Source organism: Homo sapiens, chromosome 11, assembly GCF_000001405.40.
Source record: "Homo sapiens chromosome 11, GRCh38.p14 Primary Assembly".
NCBI classification, from domain to species: Eukaryota; Metazoa; Chordata; class Mammalia; order Primates; family Hominidae; genus Homo; species Homo sapiens.
Window position 1 is genome coordinate 133,896,292 of NC_000011.10, and position 21,234 is coordinate 133,917,525.

General features: G+C 51.6%; 1 protein-coding gene and 1 non-coding gene across 2 annotated transcripts in view; both read right to left on the minus strand.

Annotated features, from left to right (window-relative positions):
- The window catches only part of IGSF9B (immunoglobulin superfamily member 9B), a 60,531-nt gene continuing 39,443 nt past the window's right edge, over positions 147 to 21,234 (minus strand). Inside the window, exons 19-20 of the mRNA NM_001277285.4 lie at positions 15,595 to 15,716; positions 147 to 12,986 (exon numbers count right to left, since the gene is read on the minus strand). Coding sequence (NP_001264214.1) covers positions 12,778 to 12,986; positions 15,595 to 15,716 — 331 coding nt within the window. The 3' untranslated portion in view covers positions 147 to 12,777. The remainder of the gene's footprint in view (positions 12,987 to 15,594; positions 15,717 to 21,234) is intronic.
- On the minus strand, positions 2,213 to 2,290 carry MIR4697 (microRNA 4697). The gene has a single exon (NR_039846.1). It is a non-coding gene; the product is annotated as a microRNA 4697 (primary transcript).

Here is a 21,234-nt window from a genome sequence, read left to right on the forward strand (position 1 = left end):
CAACCTCTTCATCTCCCAGCCGCAAACCATTTCAGAATCATGTTGAGTCGTGAGTTTAAAGTGGGTTGATTAGGGAGACCTAGGGCCAGGGGTGAGACAACATCAGGAAGCACTCCCTAGGTACACAAAAAAATTAGAAAATGAACTTTTTTAGCAAATGTTTATTTATATCAAAATACAAAACATTTCTGAAGCAGAGTAATGTTACATGAGGAGCAATTAAATACTAAACGTCTTTTCATCAGTTTAACTTGCAACACTCCCGGGGTACCTGCACTGGCTGCACATCTCATCATTTGATGTGTGCCTTCTTTTTTCTCATTTGCTTATGCACGTGTTTGCTCATTTTGATTTGTAATTCAGGATATGAACATGCAGTGTTACTGGGGATGAGTTGGTTAGTACTTAGCAAGCCTGGAAATACCAGCGAGTGGAGCCTGGCGTGGTAGCCTGAGCTGAGGCAGGCTGCAGGTTCTCTTCCTGACTGAGTCTGGGGTGTCACTCCATTTTTGACTGCCAAGTCAAAGGACAAAGGGATCACCATCATCAGCAGCCAGGGCAGGCGTCTATTGCTTAGGGCCGTAGAGCAGGCGTGGCTTTGGGGTCATCTCCAGCGGGGTCTTCTCAGTGTTTGGGAAGAAGGGGCAGGGCAGTCTATAGGCCCAGGCCCAGCAGCAGGATGCCCAGGGTCCCTGCAGGAAGAACCCTCTTCCCCAGGAAAGCAAGGAAGGGTTCGGGAGGAGACAGTTCCTCCTACTCTTGGAAGTCTGTGATTTGGTGGCTGGGGGTGCCTGCCCATTGGAAGGGCCCCTTATAAATGCTTTGAGTTTGGAGATTTTGAGGGAAAAAAAGCACCTGATTGAGAGTGTAGCTGTTTCCAATACACCTCCCTTCCCTGACGGAGAAGGGAAGGAGGCAGAAAACAGGGGAGAGAGCATCCCCCCTTCATTCCCACACCGCCCCACTCCCAGAGCCAACCTGGGCCTCCCTTCAAGCTCGTACTTAGTACATTCACCATGACACTGTGCACCTGTGAGCTCTCTCCCGCTCTCACTCTCTTGCGTGCACACACGCACACGCACACACACGCACAGGTATGCACACATATATATGCAGGTGCGCGCACACACACACATCTGGTTTCCTTGCAGTCTGCTCAGGCAGCAGAAGGGTGTCCCATCCTCACCGTCATCTTTTACTTCCCAGGGTGCCCTTGGCCCACAGGTCCCCAAGACCCAGCCCCAGGCTTGGCACGCGCTGGCATTCCCAGGCTTTTGAGAAGAGGGTGATAGAGCAGGGAGCTCCTCACAGACAGGTTATACAGAGTGTAGAATATGTTCATATAAGGCTTTGGTACAGCACCGATTTCATGTTCTTATAGTTTGATTTCTAAGTCATCTTTTAGAAGAAAAAAAAGCTTACTGAAAAAATAGTGGTTTTATTTACTTTTGAGTTACATACCTGAAGTTCAAAAAGTAAGCCTCTAGTTGCCATTCAAGTTCACACTCAAAGGTGTTCTGTGTGCAGCTGTACAATTTGTTGGTTTGTCTTTAATGTTGAACAAAAGTCAGCCAACCCATACCATAAAGTCAGCTGCCCAAACTCACTTTAACCAGTCCATACATACATACAGAAAAGAAAGAGAGAGAGAGGGAGAACACAAAAGCCGCCCCTAAGTCACCCACCCCAAACCCCTAGGGAAAAATCAGAAAGAAGACAAAATACAGCAAGATATCAGGAGCCAGTGGGAGGAAGGAGATTCAGCCCAACTGGCCTCTTCGAGAACAGCACCATGAAGCACCCTAGCGCAGTGATGTTGTAATACTCAACATTCAAGAAATGGAAACGAGGTTGGAACGGTCTTCACAGGAAGACCTGGCATGGATCGGGGGTCGCCCCCAAAGAAAGTGGAAGAAAGAAAGAGTTCGAAATGAGAGCAAGAAATCTCATGACGAAACTGACAGTCATATCCAGAAAAGAAGAACTACAGCAAGAGGCTGCCGCGCACCGAGAGGTACAGAGTTTGTAAGGGGTCTGGGGGAGGTAGCCCCTCCCCACCCACACTGCCTGCTCACCCCCACCCTCTGTGTGTCCTCAGACCACCAGGTGAAATGGAGGAAAGAAGCTCATCTAAAACTTGCCCCCAGGTGTGCGATGGGAGAATTCTATCCTGCATGATCAAAGTCCCTCCTGGGGAAGAGAAAAACACTGAAGACCAAGGGGCAGGAGTCACTGACATGAAGCGGGATGTGGTCCCTTCACGTCAGTGACTGCGCCCCCTTCTGGGCCCTCTATCCCCAGCCCCACACCTGGCAGTTAGGAAATTAAATCTGAATGGGAGGTCAAGACCTTCTGACACTGATACAGACGACTTAGCAAGTGGAGCGTTAAACTGCTCTTCTCCCCTAGCCAACAATTCCCCTTTCTAACACCTCAGTCTAAAGTTCCAGAATCAAGACCATCCCATCAAGTACCTTCCTCCCAGTCCCTGGACTCTGAGACTCCACCCTCCAATGCCACAGGCAACCCCCTGTGGACAGGAAGTGTGTGTGCAGGCTTGCCTCTTCCCCCACCTCCTACTTTCAGACCGCCCAAAGTGGATCACCATGAACATCTACCGCCAAGAAGAGTGGAAGCGGGAAGCAGGCAGCAAAAATCCACGACAGAGCCTTTTCCCCAAGCTGCTGGTTGGTGACAGTGGGGAAGAGGGACAGGGCCCACACTGATCCATGGGAGAGTGATTCTCACACATCTCCCTATTCCCGACTCTTGCTCTATATAGTAGACAGAGGTAGCAAGACAGAAACAACTCCTCAGATACCTCCACCTTCTACCAAAGGGAAAAGCACCAAAATTCAATGTCCATTCTGCTGTGGGGACCAAGGAACGTGTCCCAAGCATGGGGAAGAGCTCAGGCTCCTGGCAGTGGCTGTGGGCCGTAAAAGCTCCATCAGAGCACACTCATCCACCTGTCGCCCCAACTGATGCCACAAGCGGTTCCCAGGCCTCCTCCTTACTCCACATAAAGCTGATCTCAATGACCTTTGCTCCAAGTGCCTTAAGGGCTGGCTCTTCAGAGAAGCTGGAGGTCCCCTCTGACACCCAACCTTACCTCATCTTGCTGAGCAGTGGAGCAGAAAGGTCACAGGTAGGCACTAACATCCCCTCCACACTGTACAATTTCAAGGTAGGGGCTATGGCCCCATCTTCCCTTTCCCTCCCCAAAATGAAGAGTCCTGTTGGAGGCTGAGGAATAGAATGGTGACATGTGGGCCAGTGGCTCTCCCAGACCTTGATGCTGCTGAGGACCTAATCTTGGGCTGGCCCTGGTGGGAGGGCAAGCCCTAGGACATGCCCGAGGTGTTGGAGCAGTTTACTCTGCTGGTTGCATGTGGCCAGAAGTCGGGCAGAGTCCACAGAAAGAGAGGGGATGGTGGGTCTAGAAGCCAACAGAACAGTAATGGGAGCCTCCCTTGTGCAGAGACCGTGGTGGTCTGGGAAGGCTTCAAGGTAGGAAGGGAACAGAATTTGCACCTCTTCTTCTTGCCCAATCCCCCTGAAAAATCTTACAAGAAACACTCAGCTGCAGGAGCCTGCAAGAAAGATCATTCAAGGCAAGGATGGTGCCACTGACAGTGGCACCAGCACTGGATCCTTCCAGCTGCATGGACAGAGCCCATTTCCCATCAGCGTCCTCGGAAAGTGGGGAGTGTTCTCAGCAGTTAATTTGAGGACCCAAGGACAGTGCCTGACTGAATGGCAGGGCCTCATAGGTCCATGTAAGGATCAAGAGTTAGACTCAAGCTTTACCCCAACCTACTCTTCCCATAATACCCCAAAACTGTCAACCAAGCCCTTCTCACGCTGAAGGTATCTGCTTTCCTCTAAGGACCAAACTCTATAGACAAGAGCTCTTAGGGAGTGCCATGTCTTGGTTAGGAAAGGGGTTAGTACTGCCCTTTTCTGAGTGATGAGCAGGAATAAGGAGCCGAAAGGTTGCAGTCCTGAGTCTCTCCTCACTGCCTGCACCATCTGGCCCAGCACCAGCTTCAAATACATCACTCCGAGCTCCGGGCAAGTCAGGAAGGAGCTAGCACCAGGAGACGCTTGCTGAGGCTGCAAGGCAGAGCCCTTGCATATGTGTGAGGTCTGGAATTTGCTCAGAGAGGTATTCTTCAGGGCACACTGCTTCCTGCTCAGATACAAGTGAACTCCTGCTCCCCAGAATCTCCCATTGTGGGTCCAGTTCTGCCAATACATTGTTCAGTTTTGTAAGTCCCCGGCTGGAGGCCAGAAGGAAGGTTCCACTAAGACCCCCTCTCCCAGGCCGGCCCACAGTTCATCTCTCCCTCCTCATCCTCCACTCAGTGTCCCAGGATTGGAGCATCCTATTTGCAATGGCACTTTATTTCCAATTAAAAATAACTGAAAAAAACATAGATGACATATTTATACTACATACCACATTCACACTGGCTCTAAGAATCTGCAGCAACACTAAACAGGCCATGTGTTCTCCAAGACCAAGCCCAGGCAGCCAGCCTCACAAACTCTCCCATTGCCATGCCCTCTATGAGCGGTCTGAGCTGTCTGAGCTACAGTGCTACAAACCAAGACAGGTGTCACCGTAGGTCCCTAGGTAGTCTCAACCACCCCCTTTCTAATGCTGTGAAGCCAGGTTTTCTCTGAGGAACTGGTTACCTTTCCACAGCCACGTGGGGATGGAGTCACAGTTTTCATCTCCTCAGCCTTGCCCTGTTAAGCCCCTCTGCAAAGAAGTTCAAGTCAACATCCCTCCCAAGTGGCAAGAGACACATTGGTCCTGGTTCTTTAGGGCTATCAGATCCTGCAGCTCCACACAACCTTCAGCTCACTTGTCCTTCCTGCAGGTGGGTTATTTGTTTTGTTATTTTACAAACTTTTCATATATACACATTTCCATCAGAAAGACCCAAGCAACTCTGAACAGAGAGAATACCAAAGGAAGAGCAGGGAAGGAGGTGGCGTCAAGGCATGAGCTAGTATCCCAGACTGCCTGGGAAGGTAGCACTGCTCAAAACATCTCTAAGCACAGGTACAAAAATAAAGCAAACTATGACTTCATATAGATATAGAGATATATAGACTTTATCTAGGTGTTCTTTATATTTATATATGTGTGCAGAGGGCACGGGCCCCTGCCCATCTTGCCCGGCACTCATCTCTTGCCCTCCCGCTCCCCACACCCGAGTGCCACTCGCCCGAAGCTCCCAGTCTCCACGATTGCATCTGATCCTTGCCTCCCACATACATTCCCCTCTCTCCTTAAAATAGAACCAATTCTGTAGATTTATATAATTTTATGTACAGTCTCCATAAAAAATACATTAAAGATGGTGCATTACTAATTTGACCCTCCTACCCAAACAGAAGTTGTCTAGCAAAAGAGCCAAACAAAGGAGGGTCTCCTGGGCCTGACACTACGCAGGCAAATCAGCATGTCTGTACAAATCTCTCTCACACACACCACACACAACAGACACACCACACCACACACACAAACACACACACACCACACACGCACCACACACGCACCACACACGCACCACACACACACACAACACACACACAACACACCACACACAACACACACCAAACCACACAACACACACACACATCACACACATGCACACCGCATCACACACATGCACACCAGACACATCACACACACACACACACCAGACATACACACACCATACCACACACCACACCCACACACAATACACACATACCACACACAATAACACACCACATACAATACACAAAACACATAGCACACACACACACCACACACAGTCCATGTACCACACCAAACACACCAGACACACCACACACACCAAACACACACACACCAAACACACCAGACACACCACAAGCATACACCACACGCAACATACACACACCAAACCACACTCAACACACCACACACACTGCATCACACACACACACACCAGACACATCACACATACACGCACACCACAGATACACACACACCATACCACACACACCCCACACACATACACAACCACACAATAGACACACCACACACAACACACCACACAATACGCACAACACATACCACACACAATACACACACCACACCACACACACCACCCAGACACACCACACACAGATACACACACCACACACAACACACACACACACCAGACATGCACACCACACACAGACATGCACACCACACACATATACCACACACACCACATACACACACACACCCCACACACACACACACACACCCCACTTACTTCCTGAATCCAGAAAAGAAACACTGGACTAGACAGCTGGCTGGGGGTTAGAGACCAGGGGGACAACCTGGTGCCTGCAGAAGGACACATGAGACAATCCCTTCTCCAGCCCTGCCAGGACACCGTCGGCCATGGCACACCTCTCGTTGTTCATGGGAGGCCATATAAAACCTCATTGATAGAGTGGCTGACAACTACCCTTTCAAGAACTGCAAGATGACCGTGAGGAGGCTCATCCCTCCACCAGAAATACAGCTTCATAGACCACTATGCCAAAAGGAGGCCAAAGCCCTGGGTTCTACCACCAGCGTGAGGAGGGCTGGGCACTCGCCCCTCCCATGGCTTATATGAAAACCCCACACGTGCATGCCCGCAGCATTTCTAAGGCCGAAAATGCAAGTCACCTCCCCAGCCCAACCCCCTGCCCTCCGAGATTCCCTGCCCCTCCCACCACCTCCCCATCGTAAACCACGCACATGTTCACGATCCCTGGAGCCATACAGAAGTGGGGAAAGGAAAAGGGAAGGGAAGCTAACTGGTGTGTATACGGGGTGGCGAGGGAGAACCTGCCCTAGTTCGCAAAATAAATCCAGGAAATCCAGTGCCACAGAGAGGTAGGATTGGTGGAGCACACTTCTTCAAGACCCGAAAGAAAGGCAGGCCCAGGCAGCCATTCACGTCCCCATCTAGTGTGATGGGAATGGTGACAACCAAGGACCAGTGACAGGAGCTGAGCATTTGAGCCACGGGGTTAAAACTGTCCAATCTAGCTCTCCCAGCCAGGGCTCCAAAGCCGGTAGCTTTTCACCAGCTCTCGTCCGAAACCCTAACTACTACTACTGTCTTCTACACCGCAGAAGACAACACCCATGTGATTTTAATGACTGGCCACTGTTCCACCAGAGTATATGGCAACCAAGATACCCAGACTCTTCCTTCTCTAAGATGTGAGCAGCCATTAATGACCCCTGTATGGATGCTTCATTTATCCTTATCCTACATGGGATCCCTCAGGGGATGGTGGTGTCTTTGGACCAAATTCAATCTACTGAGTGTTTTTCTAACAGCTTAAAATGAGGTTGAAAAAAACTTCCACCTTCTCGGCAACCCAACACACAGAACATCTGGTGGGGTTATTATACTTGCTCCTGAAAGAAGGTTTTGAGAGTACAGACAGGAACCCAGAAATAAGGCTCTGAACCAGTGTGGATTCACTCGCAGTCAGAGGGAAGGGTGGTGATTGGTACCCCTAGCCAAACAGCAAGCTGGTAAGAGTGCGAAAGTCCAATCTGGGCTTTGATCCTTGGTTTACTGACTTCTTCTAAAGAAGAGATTTTTCATTCTGCCTCTTAATCTAAAAAGAAGCAGAGCTGGAGACATTAAAGAGAGAAGAATGGCTGGTCAAGCCAAGAGTTTCAGGTGAAACTCTTTTGCCCTCCCACCTCCACCACAGACTAGTGACTTTAGCCTATCAAAAGAAGAGAAAGTAAAGAGAAGGCCTCACGAAGCCACTGTGCAACTTCATGGCCGGAAGGAAGCCTCTCTACCTCAAGAGGAAAGGGGGATGAAGGCACGTCAGGCTCCAGCTCCCCCTCTCTATCACCATCACCATCACCAAGGCCCATGAACATTTTCAGATTGTGGACGGAGAGGCAACCCACCGCTGCAGCTTAGGAAAATGAGAATGGCACTTCCTTCTCCACTGATGAAGAGCTGGTGATAGGATGGGCATCTCAAGACAAGTTTCTCAGCTTTGGGCCTGAGGAGCCCCCAAAACAAATGAAGTTGAAATACAATATAAAGAAGATGTCCATGTTTGGTTTGGGCACTTAGTGTTAGAGGCTAATTCTAGAAGAAGCAAGGAAGATCTAGCTAAGAAGCAAGACCTCTCCCAAGATCCAGTCTGCGTTCACATGCAGGACCCCACCCCACAATCCGTCCCTGATGCCCAGATCCCCCTCCCACATGCCCTGCATGGCTACCACTCCCCAGCCAGATGCCCACCAGGCAATCATTCTTCGTCATCTTGGGATGATCCCCCAGTGTGTACCCTGCACCCTTACAAGTAACTAAGTTATCACATGACTCAAAGAGATGCTGAGGCTTGGTGTCCCCTGGGGTGGTCTCACCATCCTAACCCATGCCTGACCTCACCCTCTGTGCCCCTTCCAGCCTCACCAACACCTGGCAAAGCACACAGGCCTCCCCTCCACCCTCCAGTTCTCCAACTCCCCCTCCTGAAACACCAGTGCCCCATCCATTACCCTAGTCAATCTAGAGCTGGCCAATAAGGCACCTCTTTGGCCCTCTCCCTAAAGCAACACACACAGCCACATGGGGCTCTACACACTGCCTACTAGATCCACTTTATATGAAGAAGATACCCAGGCAGGGCTGGGTTAGAAGCCCCGGTGGGAATGTGCACAGCTCCTAGAGTACCACAGAGGCTGGACTCAACAGAGCCTTCCATGACCCGCTCAGCTCCACCCTCTGCCCCTTCCTGCAGCTCCCCAGCCATCCCTGCAGTGCCCCCAAAGCTCCTTTACATGCAAGCAAAGCAAGCCCAAGATTAACCATTAGCTTTTCTTTTCCTAGGTTTCTCTACAGATTAATAAAATGTACTTTATGTACAATTCTTCCCCCACCCCACCCCCAAGCCTGGAAAAGGCTTTTGCTAACAAAATAGGAAGAAACAGATTCCAGCCACGCAGTCTTCAGCCCTGGAGATTCAGATCGTGGGCAGTGCCAAAGATGCTGGAGGCTCCGTGAAATCTGTTTCTCCCTAGAAGCTACTGTTTCGTCAACCTTGTCCCCCACCCCAAATAAAATCAGAAAATTTCACATTTGAACCTTACCCCAGTTTCCTCAGCACAAAAAGGGCAGAGGAATAAATTAAATCAGTTCAACCCCAAATATTTTAGATCACAAATCAAAAATAAAGACAGAGAGCATGGAAAAATAACAAGAAATACTCGGCTCAATCCACCCGGCTTCAGTCTTCCCCCAAGCGCATGGTTGTGGGACTAAGCACCTCAAAGGAGGGCACAGACCCCGCCAGCCTGCTGGGAAAAAGGCGTCCTTCCTGCTAAGAAAGTAGGATCTCAAAAGGCCTGTCCTACCCCCAGTCTCTCCAGGGAAGCTGCTTAGAGGCAGACTGGCAGCAGGCAGGGCCACTCCCAGATGCTGGGCCCAGAGCCACCCCAACAATCCAGCACAGGACCCCGCTCAGCACCAGGGAGCCCACGGCAGCCCACCAGCAAATCAAGACAGGCTTCGCCTCTCTGCCTCGTCGTACATCTTCTCTCCCCACGCAAATGCAGTTGTCCAGGCCCCGCTAAGAACCGTTTTCCCCTCTTCCTGGTCTGTGGGTCACCTGACACTACAACAGCCACAGTTCTCAGCCATGATGCTGAAGAGGCAGACAGACATCTGAGACACAGAAGCAGGTTTACATCTGAGTCGTGTCTACTGCAAGGCCGCCAGACCGTAAAAGGGGAAGTTTGGAAGGCGTGATCTCCTACAGAGTGAGTGCCGAAGTCCTAAGAAGCTGATCAGTAGTCACTGCCATTGTTCAAAGGCAGACTATGAAGGACACTGGTCCCTAGAGGTGGTTACACCCCCATCACCCACATGCTCACAACCACGCTGTCACACATGCCCACACCCAGCACCTAAACTTGTGCCTGTGACATCTTCACCCTCTATCCACGGAGGGAACTGCGTTCCACCAATCCCATCGCCGTCCACGGGCTGCAGGAGGGCTGCTGGCCTCCGAGGACACTGTCACAGGAGGAAGCCCTCAGGGGAGCTGAATGAGTGGCAGGCCACTGAGAGATGGGCAGACCTGACGTCCTTGCCCTAGCCAGGGAAGCCACAGCACAGCAGCCACTCGGTGACCAGCGAAAAGCACGGCTCCCCGCGTTGGGTCTACGTGCTGAGGTCATGGGCACTGCCAGAGGAAGCGGAGGAGGAGTCAGCACCTGGGTTAGCACGGGGGTGCCCTGGAAGGCACAGCCATGGCCTGAGCATCTCAGCCTCTCATGACATCCGAAAGAAGCAAAGCCTTCTACCTCATCATCTCCTCTTCTTTTCTAACCTGAGGGCTGGAATTCCCAGGAGGGTGCTCAGAAAAGTAGGCCAAATTCATCCTGAAGGCTGACAGCCTGATGCCCACATCCCAGTGCATCCCAGGGCCTGGCTGAGCCCCGTGAGCTCCTCTGGGGTAGAAATCTCACACTGCCAGTGCATAAAGGCTGCACGTCAGCTTGCGGTAAGCCCCCACCTCCCACCCCAACACCTCAGGTAAGCCGGCTCCCGTCATCCCCCAGGAGAGACGCCCAAGTGAGCAGCACATCACGACGCGGGGGCAGAGGGTGTGCTACCTGGAAAAAAGAACACAAAGAGTTGTGTGCTCTTCCATCTCGCAGAGCTGGTGCCCAGTGGTCAAGTGGATTCCAACGCCCCAGAGAAGCACATCAACTGGAAGGCCCAGGTTCCACCCCAAGGGTGCACGGCCCAGTCTCAGAAGCCCCTGCGTGCCTCTCTCACCATGACCCCTTCAGATGTGTTCAGAAAGGAACTGCGGTGGTGTTACTTGCACGGTAAACCTCAAGGGTGGAGCTGGTCCTCAGCTCCCTGGGTGAAAGGAAGGACCAGGGCCGGTGTGGCACAGAAGAAGTCCATCCCCTAAGATGGAAACGCCAAGAAGAGACAGCAGCCATCCAAGGCCTCATCCTGCGAGGTCACTGGGCCAAGCCCATGGCAGCTGCATGAGACCAGCAGAAGCCATCCAATGCTGCCGTGGCTCACGTCCAAGCAGGGAACTCGGGAGAGGTGGGTGCCCCCAAACCCACCAAGACAGCAGCACCAAGAAGGAAATACTTCAAGGAACCTTCATTCTAAGCCAAGCCAGAAGGGGGGCTCCTACACAAGAGTGGGGGAGGGGCAGATCTCCCCTCCACCCCGCCCTCGGGGCCTTCTGCCCTGCCCTTGGGCAGCACCATATCTTACCGGCAGAGAGACATCTTAGTGGGAAGATGATCTCAGGAAGCTTCTGGATGCTACGAGTTTGAACCAGGACCAGACTTTGGCAGAGGAAGAGTCAGTGCCCAGACCCTACTCACCACCCCTCCCGCCTTCATTCCTACGCCTCAGCCACAGAATAGAACTGGGCAAAGAGGGCAGGATCCAGAGCGTCCCAGGCCCCAGCAGCCAGAGGCGCCCTAGCTTCACCTGAGCTCATCCCCCTGCAGCTCAGGTCCACCGGAGGACGAAGGCCCCGGGGCAGAGAAGAGTCGGCAGGCAGCACGTGGTGAGTGCGGGAAAGCCACAGGCGGCTCCGCACAAGTGGTAATTAATCAATCTGGAGAATTAGCTCCCACAAAAGCAAAGGAGGATCCAATCAGCCGCTGTGGAACAGCACTGCACAGAGTGCTGAGCCGGGGACGGTATAAATAGAGCCGGCAGCTTGGCGCTAGCACAGGTGGCTCCGCAGTGGGGAGACTTTGGCCACAGAGCTCACGGCCTGGCTGGGCGGAAGGGCGCCGACGGATGCGCTGGACATGTGCACCAGAGGCTTGCTTTAGCCCCGCGGCTGAGTTAGCCTCTACTCCTGCAGCGTGAGCCACGCTGGAAGGAAGAAAGATGCAGGTCTAGGAGCCTGGCCACCCCTTCTTCACCCAGGAACCAAGAAACAAAGGCTTGAATTTAGTTCTGCAGTAACTCATTACTGAACCCCCATAGAAGGCAGCCGGTAATCACAGCAAGGCCCCATTTCTGCTCTGGGTGGGAGAAGGTAGGAGACACACGGAGAATTCAGCTGAGAGACACGGATCTTGTTTTGGGAGAAAGAATCCCCCAAGACAGATGTCAGGCACCTGGCCAACGTGCAGCCAGCCCTGCTCGCAAACCCCAGCTGGCCACTGCCCTCCTCCTCCTGCCTCCACTGACCACAGAGAGCAACAGCACTTTGCCTCAATGTACATATATATATATATATATACACACATAGAGAAACCCACACACTACAGACATATGCATCTGTATCTATATCTATATATATGTGGGGTGTGGAAGATGGACATTAAGTCCAGCCTTCTTCCAGGACTTGAAAAACTGAAACAGAAGCAGAGAGCAGTAAAAGCCATTGCTTTCCTCTTCACTTCCAAAGACATTGGAAGAGATGAGAAAAATCAACCTAGTGAAGCAGGGGGCGGAGGGGAGGAGACAGGTGTTGCCCAGTCTCCAATCCACTTCCTGACCTCGACCCACAGGTGGAAGGTGTGCCCACCCTCCGTCCTGAAGACAGGCGGCCAGGATCTGGAGGGAGACACCCGCTCTGGCAAAAGAGGGGGCATGCAGGACAAAGGTCTGGGCCGCCCTTGGCAGACGGAGGAGGACACACCCCCACACAGTGGCCCTCCCTGCCTGAGCCCAGCAACCTCGCCCCGGGGACACCTAGAGTGGGGTGGAGTCACAGCAAAGTGGCATGTCCTGGGTCATCGTGGTCCACACTGTTGAGAATCGCTGTCTGGTCTTCCGGAAGCTGGCGGTGGCACAAGTCTGAGAGCCGGGCAAAGGGGTCAGGACGAGAATGTCTCTTCTTCTTTCGGAGGCAGACAGCTTCATCGGGCCACAGAACCTGAGAGTTGGGAAGCTGCTGAGTCTGGGAGGCAGAATCGTCTAGGAAGAAAGGAAGAGGGACGCAAAAGAGAAGCAAGCGGATGAAAAGGAAGCACGCAGCCTGCTCACCTTTTCCACCTGCATTTGTTCCGGGTTTCTAATGTTGAAACAAAGGAATCACCTGAGTCTAGAGAGACCAGACCGAATTGCTGCAGAGAAACCACCTTCTTTTCCGCCAAGACAACCAGCAACCTGACCCTGCTCCTTTCACTTGAATAAGAGTTAAGAAAGTGGAATGGAGAGGATTTTCCTTCTCATTCATTTCTTTCTCGATCAGTCTACAAATATTTCTTTTAGTGCCTCTTGAGTACTAGGCATCATTCTAGGGACTGGGGATCAGGAAGGAACAGGCTGGGACTCAGGACATCTTTCTCATCTGCCCCAAGCAATGACCGACTTTATACAAGATTTTAATCGCATGCAACGGTCAGGCCTTGACCCTTCCTGGACTGCCTGGGCCTCTCCTCTGCCTCATGGCCCTTCTGGAGATTAATCAGGAATGCCTTTGCTAGCTTCAAAGACTATGCATCCATGTGAGGGTGCAGAGGAAGAGACAAACTGTCAAGACTTTAAAAACACAGAAATAAAATTTGCAGTTACTGAAAATACTACAAAGATAAAATAGGGTCAACTGAGGCACTACTCCGCTCCTTAAAGGGTTAACACTTGAATTGCATCTTAAATTATGAGCCTTCCACAGATCTGAAGAAAAATTATTCCCAACAGAAGAAATGGCATGTGTGCAAGCCCCAAGTTAAGGGTAAATGTGGTGTGTCCCCGATACAGAAGGGAGGTCATCTCAGTTGGAAAAGAGTGAGGCAAGAAAGACAGGCAGGGCATCTAGGAGCTTGAAATCTGTTCTGGTTACGATGGGAATCTGGTTACGATGGGGAGGTTTTAATCAGAAGTGTGTGTGTGTTTGTGTATGTGCACACACGCCTGCACGTGTGTGTTCGTAACTGAAAGAGAGGATGCCGCTACGTGTCCTGCAGTTCGCCGTGGTGGCTGTGTGTGGAGTCCACGGTGCAAGGTACAAGGATAGGGCTGGAACACCAGCCACGAGGTACTGCAATAGTCAAGGTGGGACAGACAGTGACTCAGAACACAGAGTTAGCAATAGAGACAACAGAAAGTGGCCAGATTCAGGATATGTTGCAAAGGCTGAGCTAACAGGCATTACCTAGCGGGCTCGACGTAAGATGTGAAGGCAAGGGAAGAATCTGGGAATTAAGGGGCCTGACACCCCAGTGGGTACCAGTGCTAGTGATTAAACCGAGGAAGAGCTGAGGAGAAGCAGACCTGGAGAGGCTGATCAATAACTCTGCTTTAGACATCGTAAAGGCGTATGAAACACCCAAGTGCACGTTCAGCTGGCAACTGGAAATATCAGCCATGACCTCAGGGAAGGGACCTGGGCTAAAGACAGACATTTGGAAGATGCCACCACAGAACTGGTAACAGGACCACTGCCATCAGAACAAGAGACAATGCAGGTCTCTGATGTGACTTTTTTTTGCAATAAAGAAATATATGTTATACATATATAAAAACTATATATTGATGGGTCTTAAATGGGTTAACAATGGGCTTAATTGGCTGAAAATGCAGCTTTGAGCTCCAGTTTCTAACCCAAGCCCTAAAAACATCATTTTCTTTTTCTCTGCCTCAGTATTTCCATCTGTAAACTGAAAGTATACTAGTACCAGCCAAAGGCTAAGTGATCATAAGTGATCACCGTCTCCCAGAGATTCATGGGGCTTTGAATTTCTATATAACACTCTCCCATAATCCTGTCTATAAAGAGAGTTACTCTACAACAGTTATCAAAGCTCTGCAAAGCAACTGTTCAGCATTCTTCCTTGACAGACTGCCACAACACTCCTAAAACCATTCATGAAAAGAGGGTTTTTAACAAATATTAAAGAATTTTCTAGTCCTTAAGAGGGCTAAATTCGTTTTGCACTCAGAAGCTACCTATCCCTGCTAGATACACATCGGACATACTTCGATAGAGGCATCCTCTCTGTGGGGTAAGGAGGCTTCACTCCATCTCACTGAGAAGGGTGTAGCCAACCTGCAGAGGCTGGGCCCAGGCTGCAGTGTACCCTGAGGTCCACATGGGGTCCTGTCATGCCTTTGTTCACTAGAAGGCCTGAAATGATAGAGGGGAAGTAAGGAAGGAGATAGAGTTATGTGCAAGGTGAAATGCAGAGTGGAAAAATAGATCTGTACTATTTGTGTTGTTTGAAAACACACTAAAATAATAGGATACATTTTCTGAAGCTGTAGGCACAGAAAAGTTTCCAAAGGCACACATGCTGAAAACGACAGTTCTCCAGGTGAGTGGAAACAAATTGGAAGGGCAATCAGATAGATTTCCCTTATCTTTCTCGTTTTGTATATGAAAATTATGTTTGTGTATTGCTTGAAAAATAGTGTTAAAAAAAAGAAACAAAGGACAAGAGAAGCTTGTGGATTCAATTCTAGAGAAAGCCCAAGGTTGGGGCCCTGAGCCCAATAACCCTCCTGACAACGGCAGCCCAATAACCCTCCTGACAACGGCAAGGCAAGGTGGGAGGAGCGGGGCGGGCCACTGCCCATCATTTACCGGATCGTTTCTTTGACTTCGAAGAGCCCTTGGATGACTTTTTGGGCTTCTTTATCCGTTGGTATTTCAGAGCCTCCAGCCTCTCAGGCGCAGCAGCGTTCCCGGGTGCAGGTGGAAGTGTTCTGGAAAGGACAACCAGAGAGCCACAATTCAGCTCCCGGATGTGTGAGGCTTTGGAAGAGGGGCTGGAAGAAAGCCAAGTAGCTGACCCACAGAAGGACAGAGTTCAGTCCTACAGAGCCCAAGGTGCCCACGATGGCTCCATGACACCCGCCTTTCTATTGCTCCTGGAAAGAAGAAAACCCAGTAGAAAGCTCCAGGAGCATGGCCCACCTCGGATGGAAACCAACCTGCAGAGCAATCAGAAGACCCTAGCAAAGGCAGACAGAGAGATTTTAATAGTAAGCACCTTCCCATGTAACGCAAGCTGGGATGCATTTAGTGTCAGAGACAGAAGTAGGCTGAACGTCTGGAGTTCCTAGAAATCACCACAATCAAGACCTTTGAATGGAAAGTAAAAGGGCATATTAGAGCAGGGGGCAAGCAGCTCCCATCCCAGTGAATCATCCTCCATCTCCAGAAAAGGGGGTGCTAAGTGAGAAACCCGACCCCCAGTAAGACAGGCTGCACAAAACCCAGCCTTGCCAGCTTCTTCTGCAGCTGCAAGATTCCCGCAGAACAGCAGCAGCTAACAACAACAAATACTTGTCATATACCAACATTTTCAGGGCAGTGTCTCCTCGACCCTGCAGACGAGGCTCAGCTCTCCTCGGCCATGTAAGAGAACAGGAGAAAGTGGCAGGAGATAACAGCAGAACAACCAAATCTGGTAGCCTCCCAGAGCCCTTGCTGTCTGTAACAAGAACGTGGTGAACCTCTGTATTTTAGGATTCGACAGAGAAACGAGGCTATTGGAACAGACCATGTGTACTGGCCTCTCTTCCTGCATCCTGATTGTCACTTGCCTGGTGGATCAACTGCCCGGTTAGGACAGGGTCCACAGTCTGGCCACACCCGTGAGGCAGCCCAGGTACACAAGGGAGCCAAGAGAGCTGAGAGGAGGGGCAGTCTGTGACACTCGGTGCATATTGGAGAGAATCTTTCAAGAGTCATAAAAGAGGAAAACCTAGAAGACATGTTCTCAATGCCATTTCTTCTCAAAGTAACCCAACTCGGAGCCTGAGGAATGAAGGGGAAAGAGAAAAAGACAGGTCACTCTGTCTTCCCACCAGCGCTGGCATTAGCACGTGATCAGAGAAGCAGGGACGCTCTGGGGCCACGGCGGACAGGCGTGCCTCGCTCTTCTTCTCCTGGACCCCCCAACTCCCTCCCCTATCTCCATTGCAAACAGTTTTTGGAAAGTCCTGATTAAAAGAGGTAGGACAGACAATGCTGTGAGGGCAAAAGAAGACCCCAAAGGTCAGCAAGCGGTCTGAGGTTAAAAAAAAAAATGTTAAGAGGGATAGGAAGCCTGCAGTCTCTTCTCCCCAGCATCAAATATGTTGGCAGCAAGGCGGGAAGAGGAGACTTACACACTAATTGCAGATAAGCCTCTGGTCTCTGGGGTTTCCTGCATGCACTGGCAATGCAGTGACCTCCATCTTCCTGGGGGATGTCATCATTCTCTAGTCCTTTAGTCCATAAAGTTTCAAAAGGCTCCCTCAAAGTTCAGGTCACGGTCAACCTCTTGACTTTCCATAGCCCTGACAGCAGAGCTAAGAAGGCTACACAGGGTCCCTCAGGTGCACACACAGGCACACACAGCCCTCTTGTGAAGAAGTGGCCAAACATGCCAGTCTACCCAGAGAGATCCTACAGCGCAGCAGCAGCTGGGAAGGAAGCGGGAAGGCAGACAAAGGGTGCAGGTGCCCGGGCGGGAGGCAGCACACCTTCCCAGTGTGGATAGCACATCCTCACCCCTTCTCATCCTCAACTGAGGCTTCTTCATGCTGCCTAGAAGGAAAGTTAATGTGAATCCACCTGTTCAGTCGATCTCTGTCTCCTGGCCGGCCTCTTCAGGAGGACCACACAGGGTGAGCGACGTGTGGTCAGGGAGGCGCATGACCGGCAAGAAGAGTGCTCTCCAATGTCATCCAGGGCGACCGCTGGGGCACGAGAGAAACCGGTACAGGGTGCCCTGAAAACTGTTAGGGATTCTTCAAGCCAGGTGAAACTTCCAGGGGTGATATGATGGTTAGAATCAACATCTTATCACTGTTGTCATTTTTATCATCTAGCATTGATTTACCACTTACCACAGCAGGCACTGCTGTACAATAATTGCCTGTAATCTCTACAGCAAACCTAAGAGGTAGATACTACAATGCCCCCATTTTTCAGATGGAGACACTGAAGTTTAGAGAGGTGAGCAACCTGTCGAATCATCCAGTCATCGTGGGAAAGAGCCAAGACTCTTAACATTAGGCTCACCTCTCCACTGCCCTTCCAGCGTCTTCCCAATCCACAAAGGTATAGCAGCTACAAAGAAGAAAAGCATGGCATCCCCGCCACACCTGAGAAATAGATCTGCCTTGCAACGTACTTGAGGCGAGCACTGACATTCTGTGCTTTGGTGGAACAGCCCCGGTGAGACAGACCAGGGCTGGAGAGGAGCCTGCTTAAGTTGTATCGTCAAAGCAAAAATTCCCAGACAGTAATGATCCAGTGACCAGAAGCAGCCGATTTTCCCTTGAGAAACAGCCAAGCTCCAGCCCTTCCGGGACACCTGCTGTCCACCTGTTTAGCTCTGGGCTCAGCACCGAAGCATAGCCACAGGACAAAAGAAGGCTCTGGACACACCAAGACCCTCACCCAATGTGGGAGGAAAAAACAAAAGCTGGTGTCTGGCAGAACAGGAGGGAGGAAGCAGGGCAGGCAAAATGAGTCTATTTTTGGCACATGGTACAGAAAAGACACATAGAATGTGACCTAACAGACTTTACCAACAGCACGTAAAGCCCTGTGCAATCGAATTGCCTCCCTGTTTTAGGAAGGTGACCATGTTTGTTGCCAACGCCAGCCCCACCTGGGGCCCTTTGGTCATGGAGCTCTTGGTGCCAATGTCTCAGGTGGGAAGCTTCAGTGAAGCAACTCCATCCTATCCCTGGAATTCAGCTGTCAGGTAAATCTAAGCTTGATCCATAGATGATGCCATTACCCCAGAAGCCAGTCCTGGGCTCTCCAAGAATTTAAGGTCACAGTTCTCTTCCCAACCAGCCTACACTGTTCTAAAGCATGCAGGAATGCTACGAACCCTGGGGCTCCCCTTCTCCCAGGAAGTCAGGGGATTACTCCAAGATGAGGGCCTCAAAGCCTTGGCACAGAGGTGTTTTTTGCAGTACAGAACTACCAACAATTGCCTGGAACTTACTTCTCTCTCTCTCTTTTTTTTTTTTTTTTTTTTTTGAGACAGGGTCTCTGTCACCCAGGCTGGAGTGAAGTGGCGCAATCTCGGCTCACTGCTGCCTCGACCTCCCCAGCTCAGATGATCTTCCCACCTCAGCCCCCCAAGGAGCTGGGACTATAGGCATGTGCCACCATGCCCAGCTATTTTTTTGTATTTTTTTGCAGAGATGGGGCTTCACTATGTTGCCCAGGCTGGCCTTGAACTCCTGGACTCAAGAGATCTGCCCTCTGGGCCACGGCACCCAGCCCACACTCTTTTTCTCTCTTTTCAAAAAATCCATACAAAACCCAAATCATGACCAGGTAGCCCAGGAGGTCTTATTTGCTTAGCTCTCAGCTTACCCAGAAGAGCTGAGGAAAGATGCAGCCAGGTCAAAGTGGAGGCAAGCCTCAGGACAGGGAAAGTCAAAACCCCCTGCATATTTCCTTAGCTCAGCGCCCAGGAGCTGACCATTTTGACCCTGTTCAGGTGTTCCCTGGCCAACAGGCTGAAGCAGTGGCTTGATGGGCATTTTCCTCCTCTTCTAATCACCTAAGAGCAAACACCACCTGCCTGATTATACACCGATGGAGGCAGGGGAAAGCCACTCATAGACGGGCCATAGCAAGGGAAAGGGTGGGCCCACTGCGGGAGTCTGCAGGTCTGAGCCCACCCCGCTGACCACAAGATGGAACCCTTCTGTGGGGCCGGACTCAGACCAGTGCTCTGCCTCAGAACCTGGCAGAAGCTTGTTTACAAAGGGGCCCCTTCCTACAGCTGACCCAGGACAGGGGCCACTCCATGCTCCAGACCCACCTGCCTCCCTGCGGTGACAGTCAGCCTGAATGGGAAAGGGAGTGGAAGCAGAGGTGAGGACAGGGCATCACTAGGCTCAGACAGGAGCTAAGAATTGGCTCGGCCTCCCCACAGTCCACAGAAAGGACAGGTCCACGCAATACAACTCCCCATGTTGAGAAGGGAGTTGGGAAGAGGAGAAAAAAAGGGAGAGAGAAAGGAGGAGAGGCAGGGGCAACAACTACATATGGACCAAAGGAACAGGAGAGGAACTGAAGGGAAAAGAAACAGTGAGAACGCACGTGGACAAGAGCTGTCACAACTTCTCCAAGCAAGACCAAGAGGGCACACATGCAAAGGTGCAGCATGGAGACAGCATCTGAACAGAGCCTGCATCTCCCCAGGACCCAGCAGCCGTACCGGGGAGGCTCCCAGCAGGCAGGAGAGGCCAGCACCGAGGGGCTGACTCAGGATGGGGAGGGTCTCCTTCTCCTAGGCTGGGGATGCTGGCCAGGCCCGGGAGAGAAACGATGGTCCCTCATCGCTGCCCCTGGTTTCTGGGTTTGCCACAGCAGTGAAAGGAGAGCGGGCTTCTCTTGGATCTGGCACAGTGGGGACACTGGGAAAGGAGAGGGTCAATGGAGTTGAGTGAAGGGGTGAGGAATAACACATGAGAGCAGAGTCTAGGAATTTCCAGGAGCTGGGGTGAGAGCTAGTCTAGGGCTCCCACACCTCCGGGGGCTGTGGAGGAGTCACAGCTGGGACAGGGAGGGAGCTGGGGAAGGTGGAAGACCAGTGGGTCTCTGGGCGCAGGAGGGCCCCAGAGCAGGTGAGCTCATAAACGCTGCCTGACAGCCCTCACACTCACCCTATGCCAGACAGCCTCACCCACAATTCCAGGGCCTCTGGGCTGCTGACAATTTTATAGCTACAGATGGTAAAGAAATGTCAGGGCAGTCCTCTTTATGGAGGCCACTCTTAGGAATGAATGAGATTTATAGCCCTGGTTAGGAAAGTGAACCTCCCTTGACATCTCTAGGGGGGGAAGGCACCTGTCTCCTTCTCGCCTGGAAAGCCAGAAGCACCTGGACGGGAGGCTCGCCGTCTCCCATGCAGGTGCCCGATGCCTGTGTGTGCCCAGGCACAGGGCAGAGGGTCCGTGGCGAGCGGCAGCACCTTGTCAGGCTACTGTGAGAGGGAGCGAGCTTCGGGTGGCCCTGAGTCTCTGTGAGGGACTCAGAGGCTCCCTGAATGCCCAAGTTCCTTTAGCTTCCACCTGGAAGGACACTCAAGGAGAGGCTGACTGCGGGGGCAGGGGGAGGGACACAGTGCTGGTCCCTGGGGGTTTCACTTCCTGCCAGCTCAATGCCTGTCTGCCCAGGGGAAGCCTGCCCCCTCCCCTCGGGGAGGTCCTCCTAAGACCCTTTCCCTACAGCATGACCCAGGGAGGACGACAAGGC